General features: G+C 42.6%; 1 protein-coding gene across 16 annotated transcripts in view; it reads left to right on the forward strand.

Annotated features, from left to right (window-relative positions):
• RPRD2 (regulation of nuclear pre-mRNA domain containing 2) overlaps window positions 1-16,294 on the forward strand; it is a 112,420-nt gene that overhangs the window by 83,289 nt on the left and 12,837 nt on the right. For all 16 annotated transcript variants that reach the window (NM_001387124.1, NM_001387123.1, NM_001387122.1 and 13 more), the window contains 2 exons: window positions 9,853-10,135; window positions 12,625-12,882. In NM_001387124.1, the coding sequence (NP_001374053.1) occupies window positions 9,853-10,135; window positions 12,625-12,882 (541 nt within the window). The remainder of the gene's footprint in view (window positions 1-9,852; window positions 10,136-12,624; window positions 12,883-16,294) is intronic.

The raw sequence follows: 16,294 nt of genomic DNA on the forward strand, positions 1-16,294 counted from the left end.
GTGATTCTCCTGCCTCAGCCTCCTGAGTAGCTGGGATTACAGGCATGTGCCACCACACCTAGCTAATTTCATATTTTTAGTAGAGATGGGGTTTCTCCATGTTGGTCAGGCTGGTCTCAAACTCCCTACCTCAGGTGATCCGCCCACCTCGGCCTCCCAAAGTGCTGGGATTACAGGCATGAGCCACCACACCCAGCCAGGGAACTTCTTTTTATTCCCCCAAGAAAGGGAGAGAGGTGATAAATGGGCATGTGTCTAATGACCTCTGAAAGAAACTAACTGTTCCATAATGAATTTTTTTTAAGTTTTAATCACTGTGTATCGCCGTAAAAGCATATGGTACTGTAGGTCCCACCAGTCCTACTTCGTAGAAGCAATCCCTTTTAATGAATTTTGCTATTTTTTTCTGGCATTTGCTCCCATATTTGTAAATGATTTGCCCATATTATTCTTTCTTGATTTATCCTATTTTAGAAATAGCTGTTAACTTCCTGATATGACAGATGTGGATTTAGCTTATACTCACCCGCCTTTCTCCTTCTCCCAGTTTTGTTGTGTAACTGTTTTAAATCTGTTATCTATAAATTAAAGGACTGTATTTACTATTTTTTGACCATTAACACTAGACTCCCTACTTCGTAAAATTTGGTTAGTAGCATCCCTATTTGCTCCCATTAGTTTTCATCTATCCCTTCAATTTTCCAGCTTCAATCAACTATATTTACTTTTTGTTGTTGTTGTCTTTTTTTTGAGATGGAGTCTCGCTTTGTCACCCAGGCTGGAGTGCAGTGGCGCACTCTTGGCCTCACTGCAACCTCCACCTCCTAGGTTCAAGTGATTCTCCTGCCTCAGCCTCCCGAGTAGCTGGGATTACAGGTGCATGCCATCATGCCTGGCTAATTTTTGGTTTTTTAGTAGAGACAGGGTTTCACCATGTTGGACAGGCTCGTCTTGAACTCCTGGCCTCAAGTGATCCACCCACCTCAGCCTCTCAAAGTGATGGGACCATAGGCATCAGCCACCACACCCAGCCAACTATATTTACTTCTGTATTGTCAAAGTTGGTAATATTTACATTCTGTTCTATAATCATACTTAATTACTCTTTGCTACTCTAAAGGTTGAAAAACAATTTTTCAAAAAGCTTACATTATAACTCTGTAAACATTGTTCATTGCAAGGTTTTGTGGTAACTATAGTTGTACTAGAAGTTTTGTTTTTTCCTAGAGTTTTGTTTTCTCTTTTATTGTTTGCCCTTGCATAGCCTTTCTAAATTCTCCATCACACCAGCTATTCTGAATTCCCTTTTCCCCCTGGGTCCTCCCTACCTGAATTTTCATTTTCCGTCCCCAGTTTAGGTTATTCCCTAAGTCTTAGGCTAAAATAGCTCTTAACTGTTGTCCTGAGTTGAGTCCTCTATTTTCCAGATTCCATGTCTTTTTTTCTTGGTTTCTATCATTGTACTGGAGCAGTCTCAAGTAATTTCCCAAAAAAAAAGTGTTTGTGAGAGGGAAATTTTGTCTGACCTTATATTTAGAAATGTCTTAGGCTGGGCACAGTGGCTCATGCCTGTAATTCCAACACTTTGGGAGGCTGAGGTAGGAGGATCACTTGAGGCCAGGAGTTCAAGATTAGCCTGGGCAACATTGTGAGACCCTTCTATACATTAAAAGAAGAAAGAAAAGGAAAAATACATTAAAATGTCTTAGATCATTGATTTTCTCCCCCTGCCCAACCCCGAATTGGCTAATGGATAAGCAGGTTGATTTTCAGCTTTTAGGAAATGTATACATTTAATACAGTAAATTTCCTTCTAAGTTGCATCCCATGAGTTTTTATATTTAAGTATATCTTTTGCAAAGAGCATATAGTTGGATCTTGTTTTAGTTTTATTGTTATGTTTTGATCTAGTCTGAAAATCTTTGACTTTGCAGTGTTTAGTCTACTTATTGATATGCTTGGGTTTAAGTCTACCATCTTTCTATTTGTCCTATGTGTCCTTTTCTTTGTTACTCCTTTTTTGCTTTTTTTAATTAATCAAATAATTTTTAGATTTCTATTTTGTCTCCTGTTTTTGCTTGCATGTACTCTCTCTTCCTCTCTTCCTTTCTCCATCCCTCTTCCTCCCTCCTTTCCTCTCCCTCCTTCCTTCTTTCTCCCTCCTTCCATCTCCCAGATTTCACCTTTTTATAAGGATACCAGTCATATTAGATTAGGGCCCATCCTGATGACCTCACTTAACTTGATTACCTCTGTAGAAATCCTGTCTTCAAATAATTCTGGGGTACTAGGAGTGAGGACTTCAACATATGAGTCAGGGGGTGCAGAGATAGATAATTCACCCATAACAAATGGCTTCGTGTTTTTTATAAATTTTCAAAAATTCTCAGCTATTGATCTCAATTATTGTTACTGTTTCATCTCCCTCCTCTCCTCTTGGAACTCACATTAGTATGTATATTGGATCTCATTGTTGTGTTCCAAATGCCTTTTTTTATAGTCCTTTCTGAATTTTCCATCTTTTATTTCTCTTCTCTGCTTCCTTCTAGATATTCTACTAACTAGTCTTGTAATTCATTAATACTTTATTCTGTTGAATCTTATCTATGATTAAACCAAACCCATCTGTTCTTAGTTGGTTTACTTTTCAGTTCTAGAATTGCCACTGAATTTTTTTAAAGAAAGAGTTCAATTTTCTGGTAAAATTTATTCATCTTTTTAAATCTCACCATTATGAAAGATCTTAAGTCCAGTATGAAGACCTTTTTTTCCTGAATTATTTGAAAATAAGTTGCTTGTACCCCATTATCCAAAATGTTTTAGTGTGTATTTCCTACTGGACATACTCTTCTACATAACCATCAGGTGTATGTATGTATTTATTTATTTAGCCGGGTGCGGTGGCTCACGCCTGTAATCCCAGCACTTTAGGAGGCCGAGGTGGGTGGATCACGAGGTCAGGAGATCAAGACCATCCTGGCTAACACGGTGAAACCCCGTCTCTACTAAAAATTAAAAAAAATTAGGTGGGCGTGGTGGCGGGAGCCTGTAGTCCCACTACTCCGCAGGCTGAGGCAGGAGAATGACGTGAACCCAGGAGGCGGAGCTTGCAGTGAGCCGAGATCGCGCCACTGCACTCCAGCCTGGGCGACAGAGCAAGACTCCGTCTCAAAAAAAAAAAAAAAAAAAAAAGTTATTTATTTAGAGACGAGTCTCACTGTGTCACCCAGGCTAGAGTGCAGTGGCGCAATCTCGGCTCACTGCAACCCCCGCCTCCTGGGTTCAAGCGATTCTTCTGCCTCAGCCTCCCGAATAGGTGGAACTACAGGCGCCCACCACCACTTTTTGTATTTTTAGTAGAGATGGGGTTTCGCCATATTGGCCAGACTGGTCTCAAACTCCTGACCTCAGGTGATCCACCTGCCTCGGCCTCTTAAGGTGCTGGGATTACAGGCGTGAGCCACCGTGCCCCTCCAGGTGTAGTTATATAATCAGGAAATTAATTGATACTTTGACACACTTATAATCTAATCCTCAGAACCGATTCATATTGGCCAGTTTTTATAGGAAAAGATCCTATCCAGAATCACAAGTTGCATTCGGTTGTCATCTCTCTTTATTCTCCTTTGATCTGGAACAGTTTCTTAGCTTTCTCCTTGATTTTCGTGACCTAAATATGTTTGAAGATTACAAGTCAAATATTTTGTATAATGTTTCCCAGTTTGAGTTTATTTGATATTTCTTTGTGATCAGGTTGAGGTTATGCATCTTTAGAAGGAATATCACAGAAGTGATTCTGTGTTCTTCATGTTTCGTCTTGTCAGATGGCACACAAGTTTGGTTTATCTCACTACCTGTAATGTTCCCCTTGATATTCTGATTAATGTGGCATCTTCCAGGCTTGTCCATTATAAAGTTTTCCCTTGGTGATTGTTATGGGTTAAATTATGCACCCCAGGCCGGGCGCAGTGGCTCAAGCCTGTAATCCCAGCACTTTGGGAGGCCGAGGCAGGTGGATCACGAGGGCAGGAGATCGAGACCATCCTGGCTAACATCGTGAAACCCCGTCTCCACTAAAAAATACAAAAAATTAGCCGGGCGCAGTGGCAGGCACCTGTAGTCCCAGCTACTTGGGAGGCTGAGGCAGGAGAATGGCGTGAACCTGGGAGGCGGAGCTTGCAGGGAGCCGAGATCGCGCCACTGCACTCCAGCCTGGGAGACAGAGCAAGACTCCGTCTCAAAAAAAAAAAAAAAAAAATCGTCCACCCCAAAAAGATGTGTTGAAGCCCTAACCTTCAGTACATGTGAATGTGACCTTATTTGGAAATAGGGTCTTTGCTGATATAATCAAGTTAAAATGAGTTCACTGGGGTGGGCCTTAATCATCCGATATAACTGGTGTCCATATAAGAAGAGGGAAACTGGCTGGGTGCAATGGCTCACACCTGTAATCCCAGCACTTTGGGAGGCTGAGGCAGGCAGATCCCTTGAGGTCAGGAGTTCAAGACCAGCCTGGCCAATATGGTGAAACCCCGTCTATACTAAAAATAGGAAAAATTAGCCAGGCATGGTGGCGGGTGCCTGTAATCCCAGCTACTTGGGAGGCTGAGGCAGGAGAATCGCCTGAACCCAGGAGGCAGAGGTTGCAGTGAGCCGAGATCACACCATTGCACTCCAGCCTGGGCAAGAGAGCAAGACTCTGTCTCAAAAAAAAAAAAAAAAAAGAGAGAGAGAGAAACTGAGAAACTGGACAAAAGCACAGGGAGAACATCATGTGACAGCATAGGCAGATATTGAAGCCATGCAGCTACAAGCCAAAAACATCAAGGATTGATGGGCACCACCAGAAACCAGGAAATGGCAAGGAAGAATTCTGCCCAGTGTCAGAGAGAGCACAGCCTGCTGACATCTTAATTTTGGACCACTAGCCTTCAGAGACAATAAATTTCTGTTGTTTTAAGCCACTCATTTTGTAGTACTTAATTAACCACTGCCCTAAGAAACTAATATACCAATTAATGAATGTTTTGTGAGGAAGTATTTTGAAACTATGTAAATATCTTGTTCCTTACCAGACTTTCGATGTATTCATTTATTTATATGAATGGACTTGAATCCTATTTACTCACTGTTTTAATTCATTACTACTAATATTTACTTTGATGCTCAGTTTGACAAAGTTTTGGTCAATGTGAGCTCCTTTCTGTGTTCTTTTGACATATCCCCTTTTTTTTTTTTTTTTTTTTTTTTTGAGACGAACTTTCCACTCTTGTTGCTCAGGCTGGAGTGCAGTGGCACGATCTCGGCTCACTGCAACCTCCGCCTCCCAGGTTTAAGCAATTCTCCTACCTCAGCCTCCCAAGTAGCTGGGATTACAGGCATTCGCCACCACGCCTGCCTAATTTTATATTTTTAACAGTGATGGGGTTTCACCATGTTGGCCAGGCTGGTCTCAAACTCCTGACCTCAGGTGATCCGCCTGCCTCTGCCTCCCAAAGTGCTGAGATTACAGGCGTGAGCCACTGGCACCACTTTTTTACACTACTAATTACTTTTCTAACAGTGTAAAACCTTGCTCCCTTGTCTTCAATATATTTACTTTTTTTTTTTTTTTGGAGACGGAGCCTCGTGCTGTTGCCCAGGCTGGAGCGCGGTGGCACAATCTTGGTTCACTGCAACCTCTGTCTCCCGGGTTCAAGCGATTCTCCTGCCTCAGCCTCCTGAGTAGCTGGTACTACAGGCGCACACCACCACGCCCAGCTAATTTTTGTATTTTTAGTAGAGACGAGGTTTCACCATATTGGTCAAGCTGGTCTTGAACTCCTGACCTCATGATCTGTGCTCCTTGGCCTCCCAAAGTGCTGGGATTACAGGCGTGAGCCACCGCGCCTGGCCTCAGTGTTTTTACTTAATCAGTTGTGGCCAGTCTCCCAGCACTTCCATCTCTCTCCAACCACCTTTATGGGTTTTCTTTTTATCCTGCTTAGACTCCAACATCCTTTGCAATGCCTCCCTCCCATGCAGACATTTTTCTCATTTTTGGGTCCATTCTCTCTAAGCCACTGAGTTTTTTCCCTCAGCTCCAGCTAATGGGTTGTGGACTAAATTGCTCACAGAGGAAGGGAAAGAAATTTTTCACTATTTTCATGAACATATTAATCATAGCTGTTTGGTTTTTGTCATATAGTTCCAATATTGGCTTCACCTGTTACGGGTATGTTAGTGGTGTTTGGTGTTTTTGTTTTGTTTTGTTTAGTGCCCAGAGGTAGCTGCTAATGTAGTGTCTGCATTTTCTTTTTAGCCATTTGGACCTATCTCTTAGCATGCCTGCTAATTTTTTATCGAATGCTGAACATTAAAAGATTATGGAGTCTCTGGATGATTTTTCTTCCTTTAGAGACAGTTCACCCTTGTTTTGCTAGGCAGATATTGAGGCTGGTCATATTAATTAAATCTGAAACCTAACTGACTCGAGGCTGAATTGCAGTTTAAGCAAGCCTTGTTCCACCTCTGGTTCACTCCAGCTTCTGGAATGTAGATTTTTCCCACAGAGAGCCTGGAATGATCACTAAGCCCCCTTCTCCATGGCATGATTTGAACTCTCTAGTCCTTGTTTCCTCATCACTATGAGACCACTGCTTTTTCCAAGGTTTTCTGCTTGGCTTCTTCCCTCTCAAGCAGCTTCAGAATTCAGCAAATATCTTGAAGGAAAAATTGTTGAGCCAGTTCTCTCTTTCATCAGAATCTTGGCCTTTCAGTCCTCTAATTTTTGCCTGTTAAGACCAGCAAGACTGTTAAAAGCTCTGCTTTTTTTCTTTTTATTTAATAGTGGCCCTCTCTTGTCCTTTTTGCCTTAATTCTCAGCTTCTTGCCTAGCTCCCCAGAATCAGCAGAATCCTAAGAGAAAATAATGTCAGCTTAGCTCTCCATGCTTTCCCTCTGATAGTATTTGCCACTTAGTTTTTGGTGGCCTTAGCACTCTCCAGTATATTCAAACAAGTGTGTCTGTGTATCTGGCTTTTCTACTTGTTCTTGATGGGAGCATTAGTCTACTATAAGCTACTGAGTTATATCAAAAGCAAAAAGCTAGATTCTAATGTATTCATATCTTTTTAAAAATAATGCTTCTTGGCTGGGCACAGTGGCTCACACGTGTAATCCCAGCACTTTGGGAGGCTGGGGCAGGCGGATCACCTGAGGTCAGGAGTTCGAGATCAACCTAGCCAACATGGCGAAATTTTGTCTCAACAAAAAATACAAAAATTAGCCAGGAGTGGTGGTATGTGCCTGTAGTCCCAGCTACTTGGAGGGCTGAGGTGGGAGGATCGCTTGAACCTGGGAGGTGGAGGTTGCAGTGAGCTCTGATCGTGCCACTACACTCAAGCCTGGGTGATAGAACGAGACCCTGTCTGAAATAAAATAAAATAAAGGTTCTTGAATTTACAAAACAAAATAATAACACAATCTAATGGTCATCAACTCTCAAAAAAATGAAAAATTCAAAAGATATCTTTAAGACATTAGCAATTAAGACTATCAGGACATCAATAGGATTTAAGCCAAGTGGTCAATATTAACATCAACAGTGGTAAGTCGTATTGATTGTATGTGCCCTTGATATGGTGTGATCGCAGTAGCAGTTTACCTCTGTGGCCTTCCACCCAAAAACTCATTACCCCAGTCTAGCCATTAGAAAAATATCAGTCAAATCTCAATTGACAGTCTACAAAATACCTGACCAGTACTCTTGAAAACTGTCAAGATCGTCAAAACCAGTGAAAGTCCAGGCCGGGCGCGATGGCTTACGCCTGTAATCCCAGCACTTTGGGAAGCCGAGACAGGCTGATCATGAGGTCAGCAGTTCAAGACCAGCCTGGACAACATGGTGAAACCCCGTCTCTACTAAAAATACAAAAATTAGCCAGGTGTGGGGGCGCACGCCTGTAATCCCAGCTACTCAGGAGGCTGAGGCAGGAGAATCACTTGAACCCAGGAGGCAGAGGTTGCAGTGAGCCAAGACCATACCACTGCACTCCAGCCTGGGCGACACAGCGAGACTCCATCTCAAAAAAAAAAAGAAAGAAAGTCCAGCAAAGTGTCACAAACAAGAGGAGTCTAAGGAGAAAGAAGACATGACTACTAAATGTTCTGTGGTATCTTGGATGGGATCCTAGGTTAGAAAAGGACATTAGGTAAAAAAAAAAAAAAACCTGAGGAAATCTAAAGTATGGACTTTTGTTAATAATTATGAATATTGATTCATTAATGTGACAAATGTATCATACTGATATAAGATGTTAGTAATAGGAAAAATTGGATATAGGGTATATGGGAACTATCTTTGCAATGATTTTCTAACACCTAAAACTTCTTTTACAACAAACTATTTTTGTTTTGAGATAGGGTCTCGCTTTGTCACCCAAGCTGGAGTGCAGTGGTGTGATCACTGCTCACTGCAGCCCTGACCTGGGCTCAAGCAGTCCTCCCACCTCAGCCCCCTAAGTAGCTGGCACTACAGGCAGCTGGGACTACAGGCGCATGCTACTATGCCCAGCTAATTTTTTTTTATTTTTTTGTAGAGACAGTATCTCCCTATGTTGCCCAGGCTGGTCTTGAACTCCTGGCTTCAAGTGATCCTCCTTGCCTCAGCCTCCCAAAGTGCTGAGATTACAGACATGAACCACCAGGCCCAGCCCCTGTTTTTTAAAACAATAGCATCTGACCTCCCAGGCTTTGCTTTATTTTTGGATTTGATTTTTTTTTTCTTGTCTGTCTCATTTCTTGCTGTATCTCCAGTACCTAGAAGATACATTTAGGCTCTCAATAAATATTGGTTGGTTGGATAGATAAACAGGAGCAAGGGAATATAAATTACAGATAACTGCTAGGTTTCTAACTCAGGCAACTGTGTGGATGGTAATATTCACTTAGGGAGTATAAAAAGCAGAAACTAGAAACTACTGCATGCTTGACAGATGATATATTATCTTGTTTTGTGCCAGCAATGTACGTGATTAATAATAGAAAATCTAATCAGAGTCAAAATGGGTCGCCAGGGATGATGGTGTATGCCTGCAATCCTAGCATTTTGGGAGGCTGAGGTGGGAGGATCACTTGAGCCGAGGAGTTCAAGACTAGCCTGGATAACATAGCAGGACCTCATCTCTCATTTAAGAGAATAAAATTTTATTTAAAAAAAAAAAAAGCAGCCGAGCACGGTGACTCAAGCCTGTAATCCCAGCACTTTGGGAGGCCGAGGTGCATGGATTACCTGACATCAGGAGTTCAAGACCAGCCTGGCCAACATGGTGAAACCCCGTCTCTACTAAAAATTCAAAAATTAGCCGGGTGTGGTGGTGCACGCCTATAATTCCAGCTACTTGGGAGGCCGAGGCAGGAGAATCACTTGAACCCAGGAGGCAGAGGTTGCAGTGAGCTATGATCATGCCACTGCACTGCAGCCTGGGCAACAAGAGCGAAATTCCTTCTCAAAAAAAAAAAGAAGAGGCTGGGTTTGGTGGCTCATGCCTATAATCCCAGCACTTTGGGAGGCTGAGGCGTGTGGATCACTTGAGGCCAGGAGTTCGAGACCAGCGTGGCCAACATGGTGAAACCCCATCTCTATTAAAAATACAAAAATTAGCCAGGCATGGTGATGTGTTCCTGTGGATCCAGCTACTTGGAAGGCTGAGGTAGAAGGATCACTTCAACCCAGGAGGCAGAGGTTGCAGTGAACCAAGATTGTGCCACTACACTCTAGCCTGGGTGACAAAGTGAGACTCTGCCTCAAAAAGAAAAAATGTTAACTTTCTGGTCTTTTTCCAAGGAGTAAACTCCTTTTTTCTCTTTTAGGCATATAAAACCTTTGCTAACCGAGTAAACAATTTAAAGAAGAAGTTGGATCAATTGAAGTCAACCCTTCCAGATCCTGAAGAATCACCAGTTCCTTCCCCAAGCATGGACGCTCCCTCCCCGACTGGTTCTGAGTCTCCTTTTCAGGGAATGGGAGGTGAGGAATCCCAGTCACCAACCATGGAGAGTGAGAAATCTGCCACACCTGAACCTGTGACAGATAATCGTGATGTGGAAGACATGGAACTCTCAGATGTGGAAGATGATGGGTCAAAAATCATTGGTATGTCTTTATGTGATTAATAGACAACTTATTCCTTATCTGTTTTGCCTTCTCAGCAATGAATACATCACAGGCAGGTATTGAAAGATAGTTCATTTCTTAAAAGATAGAACACCAAGGTAGCATTATAATCTCTAGAGCAGTTGTTGAGGATTTGATATGCCAAATGTGTTAAGAATCATTGCTCAGTATCTGCACTGTTAAAATGCTAGCTACTAGGCCATGGGCGGTGGCTCATGCCTGTAATCCCAGCACTTTGGGAGGCCAAGGCAGGTGGATCACCTGAGGTCAGGAGTTCGAGACCACCCTAGCCAACATGGTGTAACCCTGTCTCTACTAAAAATACAAAACTTATCCGGGTATGGTGGCAGGTACCTGTAATTCCAGCTACCCGGGAGGCTGAGGCAAGAGAATCGCTTGAACCTGAGAGAGGGGTTGCAGTGAGCTGAGATTATGCCACTGCACTCCAGTCTGGGAGACAGAGCGAGACTCCGTCTTGGGGGGACGGTCGGGGGAAAGTAGCTACTAGCTACCTGTGGCTAAGCATTTGAAATGAAGCTTGTCCAACTTGAGATGTGCTATAAGTATAAAATACACATTGAGGCCAGGTGCAGTGGCTCATGCCTGTAATCTCAGCACTTTGTGAGGCTGAGGCGGGCAGATTGCTTGAGCCCAGGACTTTGAGACCAGCCTGGGCAACATAGTGAAACCCTGTCTCTACAAAAAATATAAAAATTAGTCAGCGTGGTGGCATGCGTCTGTAGCCCCAGCTGCTGGAAAGGCTGAGGCAGGAGAATCACTTGAGCCTGGGAGGCGGAGGTTGCAGTGAGCCAAGACCATGTCACTGCACTCCAGCCTAGATGACAGAGGGAGACCCTCTCTCCAAAAAAAAAAAACCAGACACATTGGAGTCCAGAAACTAGGCCGAGCATGGTGGCAGAAACTCTCCCAAAGAGTTAAAATATCTCATTAATAATTTTTTATTTATAACACTGAAATGAAAATATTTGGGATATATTAGGATGAATAAAATAGAATTTTTAAATTACATGTGTCTGTTTCTTTTTATTTGTTTGTTTTTGAGAGAAAAAGAGAGTTTCCCTCTGTCGCCCAGGCTGGAGTGCAGTTGCGCAATCTTGGCTCACTGCATCCTCCATCTCCTGCGTTCAAACAATTCTCCTGCCTCAGCCTCCCGAGTAGCTAGGATTGATTGTAGGTGCATACCACCACACCCGGCTATTTTTTGTATGTTTATTAGAGACGGAGTTTCACCATGTTGGGCAGGCTGGTCTCGAACTCCTGACCTCAAGTGATCCGCCTGCCTCGGCCTCTCAAAGTGCTGGGAGGTGGGCTTGAGCCACCATGCCCGGCCCTGATTCTTTTTTTGTTAATTTGGCTGCTAGAAAATTTAAACTTACATATGTGGCATATGTGGCTTAAATTGTATTCATGTTAAATAGCACTGTTTTGGGATGAGGGGTCACTTATACTGGAATTCCTTATTCTCTGTCACTTTTGACCATCAAGAATTCCAAAGTCAGTTTGTTAATCACACTTTCAGAAATAACCTGATTTGGTGAATTGTTTCTCTTATATCCCCAGCCTTCATAAATCTTATTAGATAGTTTGACTCCTGTTGAATTCAATGCACTATTGATACAGCCCTTAAAGCATTAAAAATAATTATTCAAGGTGATTGAGAGTTAAAACATTGTAGTTTCAAATTAGCTAGTGCCTGATTGCACCCCCCAATAGGGCAATTTCAGGAAGCCAGAGGAAAATACAATGAACACTATAGAGGTTCTGTTTCTAAGAACAGAAGTTCTTAGAAAGTTCTCAGGTTAATGGAAAAGAAAAACACAGGACAATTTATGAAAAATATCATTTCCAAAAGACAGAACACAAATGTGTACCAAATAATAACATGCTTCTTGAATTGTACAGATTTAATACACAAATACTAAGAAAATGCAAAGGAATCATTGAAAAGTAAGATACAAGATAAATTCTGGAAATTGCTTGCTTTTTTTTTTTTTTTTGAGACGGGAGTCTCGCTTTGTTGCCCAGGCTGGAATGCAGTGGCACAATCTCGGCTCATTGCAACCTCTGCCTCCTGGGTTCAAGCGATTCTCGTGTCTCAGCCTCTGTAGTAGCTGGGATTATAGACGCCTGCCACCACACCTAGCTAATTTTTTGTATTTTTTGTGGAGGCAGGATTTCACCATGTTGACCAGGCTGGTCTCGAAATCCTGACCTCACATGAGCCATTGTCCCCAGCTGGAAATTGCTTTTAAGCAGATATTAAAGGTGGGAATTATCATAAATTATGAAGAGTATGACTTTTTCAAAAAAGCATGAAGTGAGTCGTTGTTTTCTCTAAAGTAGTGCCTTTTCCCCCAAGTCCGGAAATATTAGGACATGTTATTTCATATAGGAAGCAAAGTCTGGAAAGTAGTAGGATGTAATATCTCTTTTCTTTGTTGAAACAGTCGAGGACAGGAAGGAAAAACCTGCAGAGAAGTCAGCTGTATCCACTTCTGTACCTACAAAGCCAACAGAAAATATCTCAAAGGCCTCTTCATGTACCCCAGTGCCTGTGACCATGACAGCAACTCCACCTCTTCCAAAGCCTGTGAATACTTCTCTTTCCCCTTCCCCAGCATTGGCTTTGCCAAACCTGGCTAATGTGGATCTGGCAAAGATCAGTTCCATCCTTAGCAGTTTAACATCAGTCATGAAAAATACTGGTAAGTAAGCCCAGTAAGGAGGATAAAAAGTTAATTTCCATCTTTTTAAATTGAATCATTAATCTGTTTTTGGGGGGGTTGTTGTTGTTGTTGTTGTTGTTGTTTAGACAGAGTTTCGCTCTGTCTCCCAGGCAGGAGTGCAGTGGTGCAATCTTGGCTCACTGCAACCTCTGCCTCCCGGGTTCAAGTGTTCTGCTGCTTCAGCCTCCCAAGTAGCTGGGATTACAGGCACCTGCTACCACGCCCGGCTAATTTTTGTATTTTTAGTAGAGATGGGGTTTCACCATGTTGGCCAGGCTGGTCTTGAACTTCTGACCTCAGGTGATACACCCACCTCGGCCTCCCAAAGTGCTGGGATTATAGGCGTGAGTCACCGTGCCCAGTCTGTTGTTGATTTTTTTTAATTAATGATTTTTTTTTTTTTTTCTGAGACGGAGTTTCAGTCATGTTACCTAGGCTGGAGTGCAATGGTGCAAACTTCACTCACTGCAGCCTCCATCTCCCAGGTTCAAGCAATTCTGCCTTAGCCTCCCAAATAGCTGGGACTACAGGCATGTGCCACCATGCCCAGCTAATTTTGTATTTTTGGTAGAGACGGGGTTTCACCATGTTGGTCAGGCTGGTCTCAAACTCCTGACCTCAGGTGATCCACCCATCTTGGCCTCCCAAAGTGCTGGGATTACAGGCGTGAGCCAGCGCACCCAGCTAAATTAATTGTTAAATTAAAAAATAATCCAATAATCGGTCATTATAGAAAAATTAGAAAATAAGCAAAGAGAATGAAATAAATATCTAGGCCAGGCGTGGTGGCTCATGCCTGTAATCCCAGCACTTTGGGAGGCTGAGATGGTAGATTGCCTGAGGCCAGGAGTTCGAGACCAGCCTTGGCAATATAGTGAGACCCTATCTCTAAATAAAAAATTTTAAATGAAAAAAATTTTTTAATAAATATCTATAATCCTGTTACCCCAAAGGAAACCACTTGTGTTTACCCTTAAAAGTATATGTGTATATGAATGTTTTGGAGAATTAAATATGTATAACAATTTTTAAAAAAGTAAGTGTATTGCATATACTGTTTCAAAACTAGCTATTTAAAAGTTAATTACATATCTTGAATGTTTTTATGAATCATTAAATATTTCTCTACATCATTTTTAATAGCTGCATAGCATGTGGTAACTTATCTAATCCTTTATTATTAGGCACTTAGTATGTTTCCAGTTTTTTACTGTTATGAAGAATACTATAGGGCCAGGTGTGGTGGCTCACGCCACCACTTTGGGAGGTGGAGGCAGGTTGATCACTTGAGGCCAGGAGTTGGAGACAAACCTGGACAACATGGCGAAACCCCATCTCTACTTAAAAAAACAAAAATTATGGCCGAGCGTGGTGGCTCACACCTGTAATCCCAGCACTTTGGGAGGCCGAGGCGGGTGGATCACGAGGTCAAGAGATCGAGACCATCCTGGCCAACATGGTAAAACCCCGTCTCTACTAAAAATACAAAAAAATAGCCAGGCATGGTGGCGGGCGCCTGTAGTCCCAGCTGCTCGGGAGGCTAAGGCAGGAGAATGGCCTGAACCCAGGAGGCGGAGCTTGCAGTGAGCCAGGATCGCGCCACTGCACAGCCTGGGCGACAGAGCAATACTCCGTCTCAAAAAAAAACAAAAAACAAAAATTAGGCCAGGTTTGGTGGCTCACGCCTGTATTTCCAGCACTTTGGGAGGCCAAGGCAGGCGGATCACCTGAAGTCAGGAGTTCAAGACCAGCCTGGCCAACTTGGTGAAACCCTGTCTACTAAAAATACAAAAATTAGCTGGGCATGGTGGCATGCATCTGTAGTCCCAGCTACTTGGGAGGCTGAGGCAGGACAATCACTTGAACCTGGGAGGCGGGGGTTGCAGTGAGCCAAGATCACGCCACTGCACTTCAGCCTGGGCAACAGAGCAAGACTCCGTCTCAAAAAAAGAAAAAATTCGCCAGCTGTGGTGGCACGTACCTGTAATCCCAGCTACTCATAAGGCTGAGGCATAAGTATCATTTGAACCCAGAAGGCAGAGGTTGCAGTGATCCAGGATCAAGCCACTGCACTCCAGCCTGGTTGACAGAGCGAGACTCTTGTCTCAAAAAAAAACAAAAAACAAAAAAAAAACCTGTAAATTATAAAAATTTTATGAATAACCCTTTGCAAGGGTTAAGTATATAAAACCTTTTTAATGGAATTTTATTTTTATTTATTTATTTATTTATTTTGAGACAGTCTCACTCTGTCCCCCAGGCTGCTGGAGTGCAGTGGCGCGATCTCAGCTCACTGCAAGCTCCGCCTCCCAGGTCACGCCATTCTCCTGCCTCAGCCTCCTGAGTAGCTGGGACTACAGGTGCCTGCCACCACGCCCAGCTAATTTTTTGTATTTTTGGTAGAGACGGGCTTTTACCATGTTAGCCAGGATGGTCTCGATCTCCTGACCTCGTGATCTGCTCGCGTTGGCCTCCCAAAGTGCTGGGATTACAGGCGTGAGCCACCGCATCCGGCCATTTATTTATTTATTTTGAGACAAGGTCCCACTCCATCACCCAGGCTGGAGTGCAGGGGTGCAGTCATGGCTCACTGTAACCTCAAACTTCTGGGTTCAAGTGATCCTCCCACCTGAGCCTTTGAGTGGCTGAGATCACACGTGTGCACCACCACATCTGGCTAAGTTTTGTGGGTTTTTTGGTAGAGACAGTGTCTTACTATGTTGCCCAGGCTGATCTTGAACTCCTGGGCTCAAGTGTTCCTCCCATCTTGGCCTCCTAAAATGTTGGGATTACAATCATGAGCCACTGCACCCAGCCCGAAATTTTTTAAATAAATTTTGCCAGGCAAGGTGGGATACCGTGTAGTCCCAGCTACTCGGGAGGCAAATGCAGGAGGATCACTTGAAGCCAGGAATTCCAGGACGTGTAGTTCACTGTGATCACGCCTGTGAATGTCCACTGCACTCCAGCCTGAGCAACCCAGTGAGACCATATCTCAAAAACTAAATAAAAATAAAGTATTTTAATATATAACTAAATTGATATCCAAAAAAGTGCTATTTTATATGACTAATATATGAAAGCTTCTGTTGTTCCTTACCTTCTCCAGTTACTTGCCTTGTGCAGTCTACAAATCCAGCCTTAAAAAGTTGTTTAATTTCCATTTCTTCTATGAAAGATGTTAAAAATTTTTTTCCTTTGCTTCTCACTTAAGTTTCTTTGTGAAATATCTGTTCATATTTATCTTTTTTAAAATAACAAATGTTTTTCTCTTTATATATTTTATTTCCTGTGTTAAAGATCAACCCAGTGTTTTTAAATGTAAAAATATAAAGGAAATTTCTTAAATAATCTCATTTTAAAAGCTATTTCAAAAGCATATAACTTACCA

The sequence above is a fragment of the Homo sapiens genome, chromosome 1, assembly GCF_000001405.40.
Source record: "Homo sapiens chromosome 1, GRCh38.p14 Primary Assembly".
NCBI classification, from domain to species: Eukaryota; Metazoa; Chordata; class Mammalia; order Primates; family Hominidae; genus Homo; species Homo sapiens.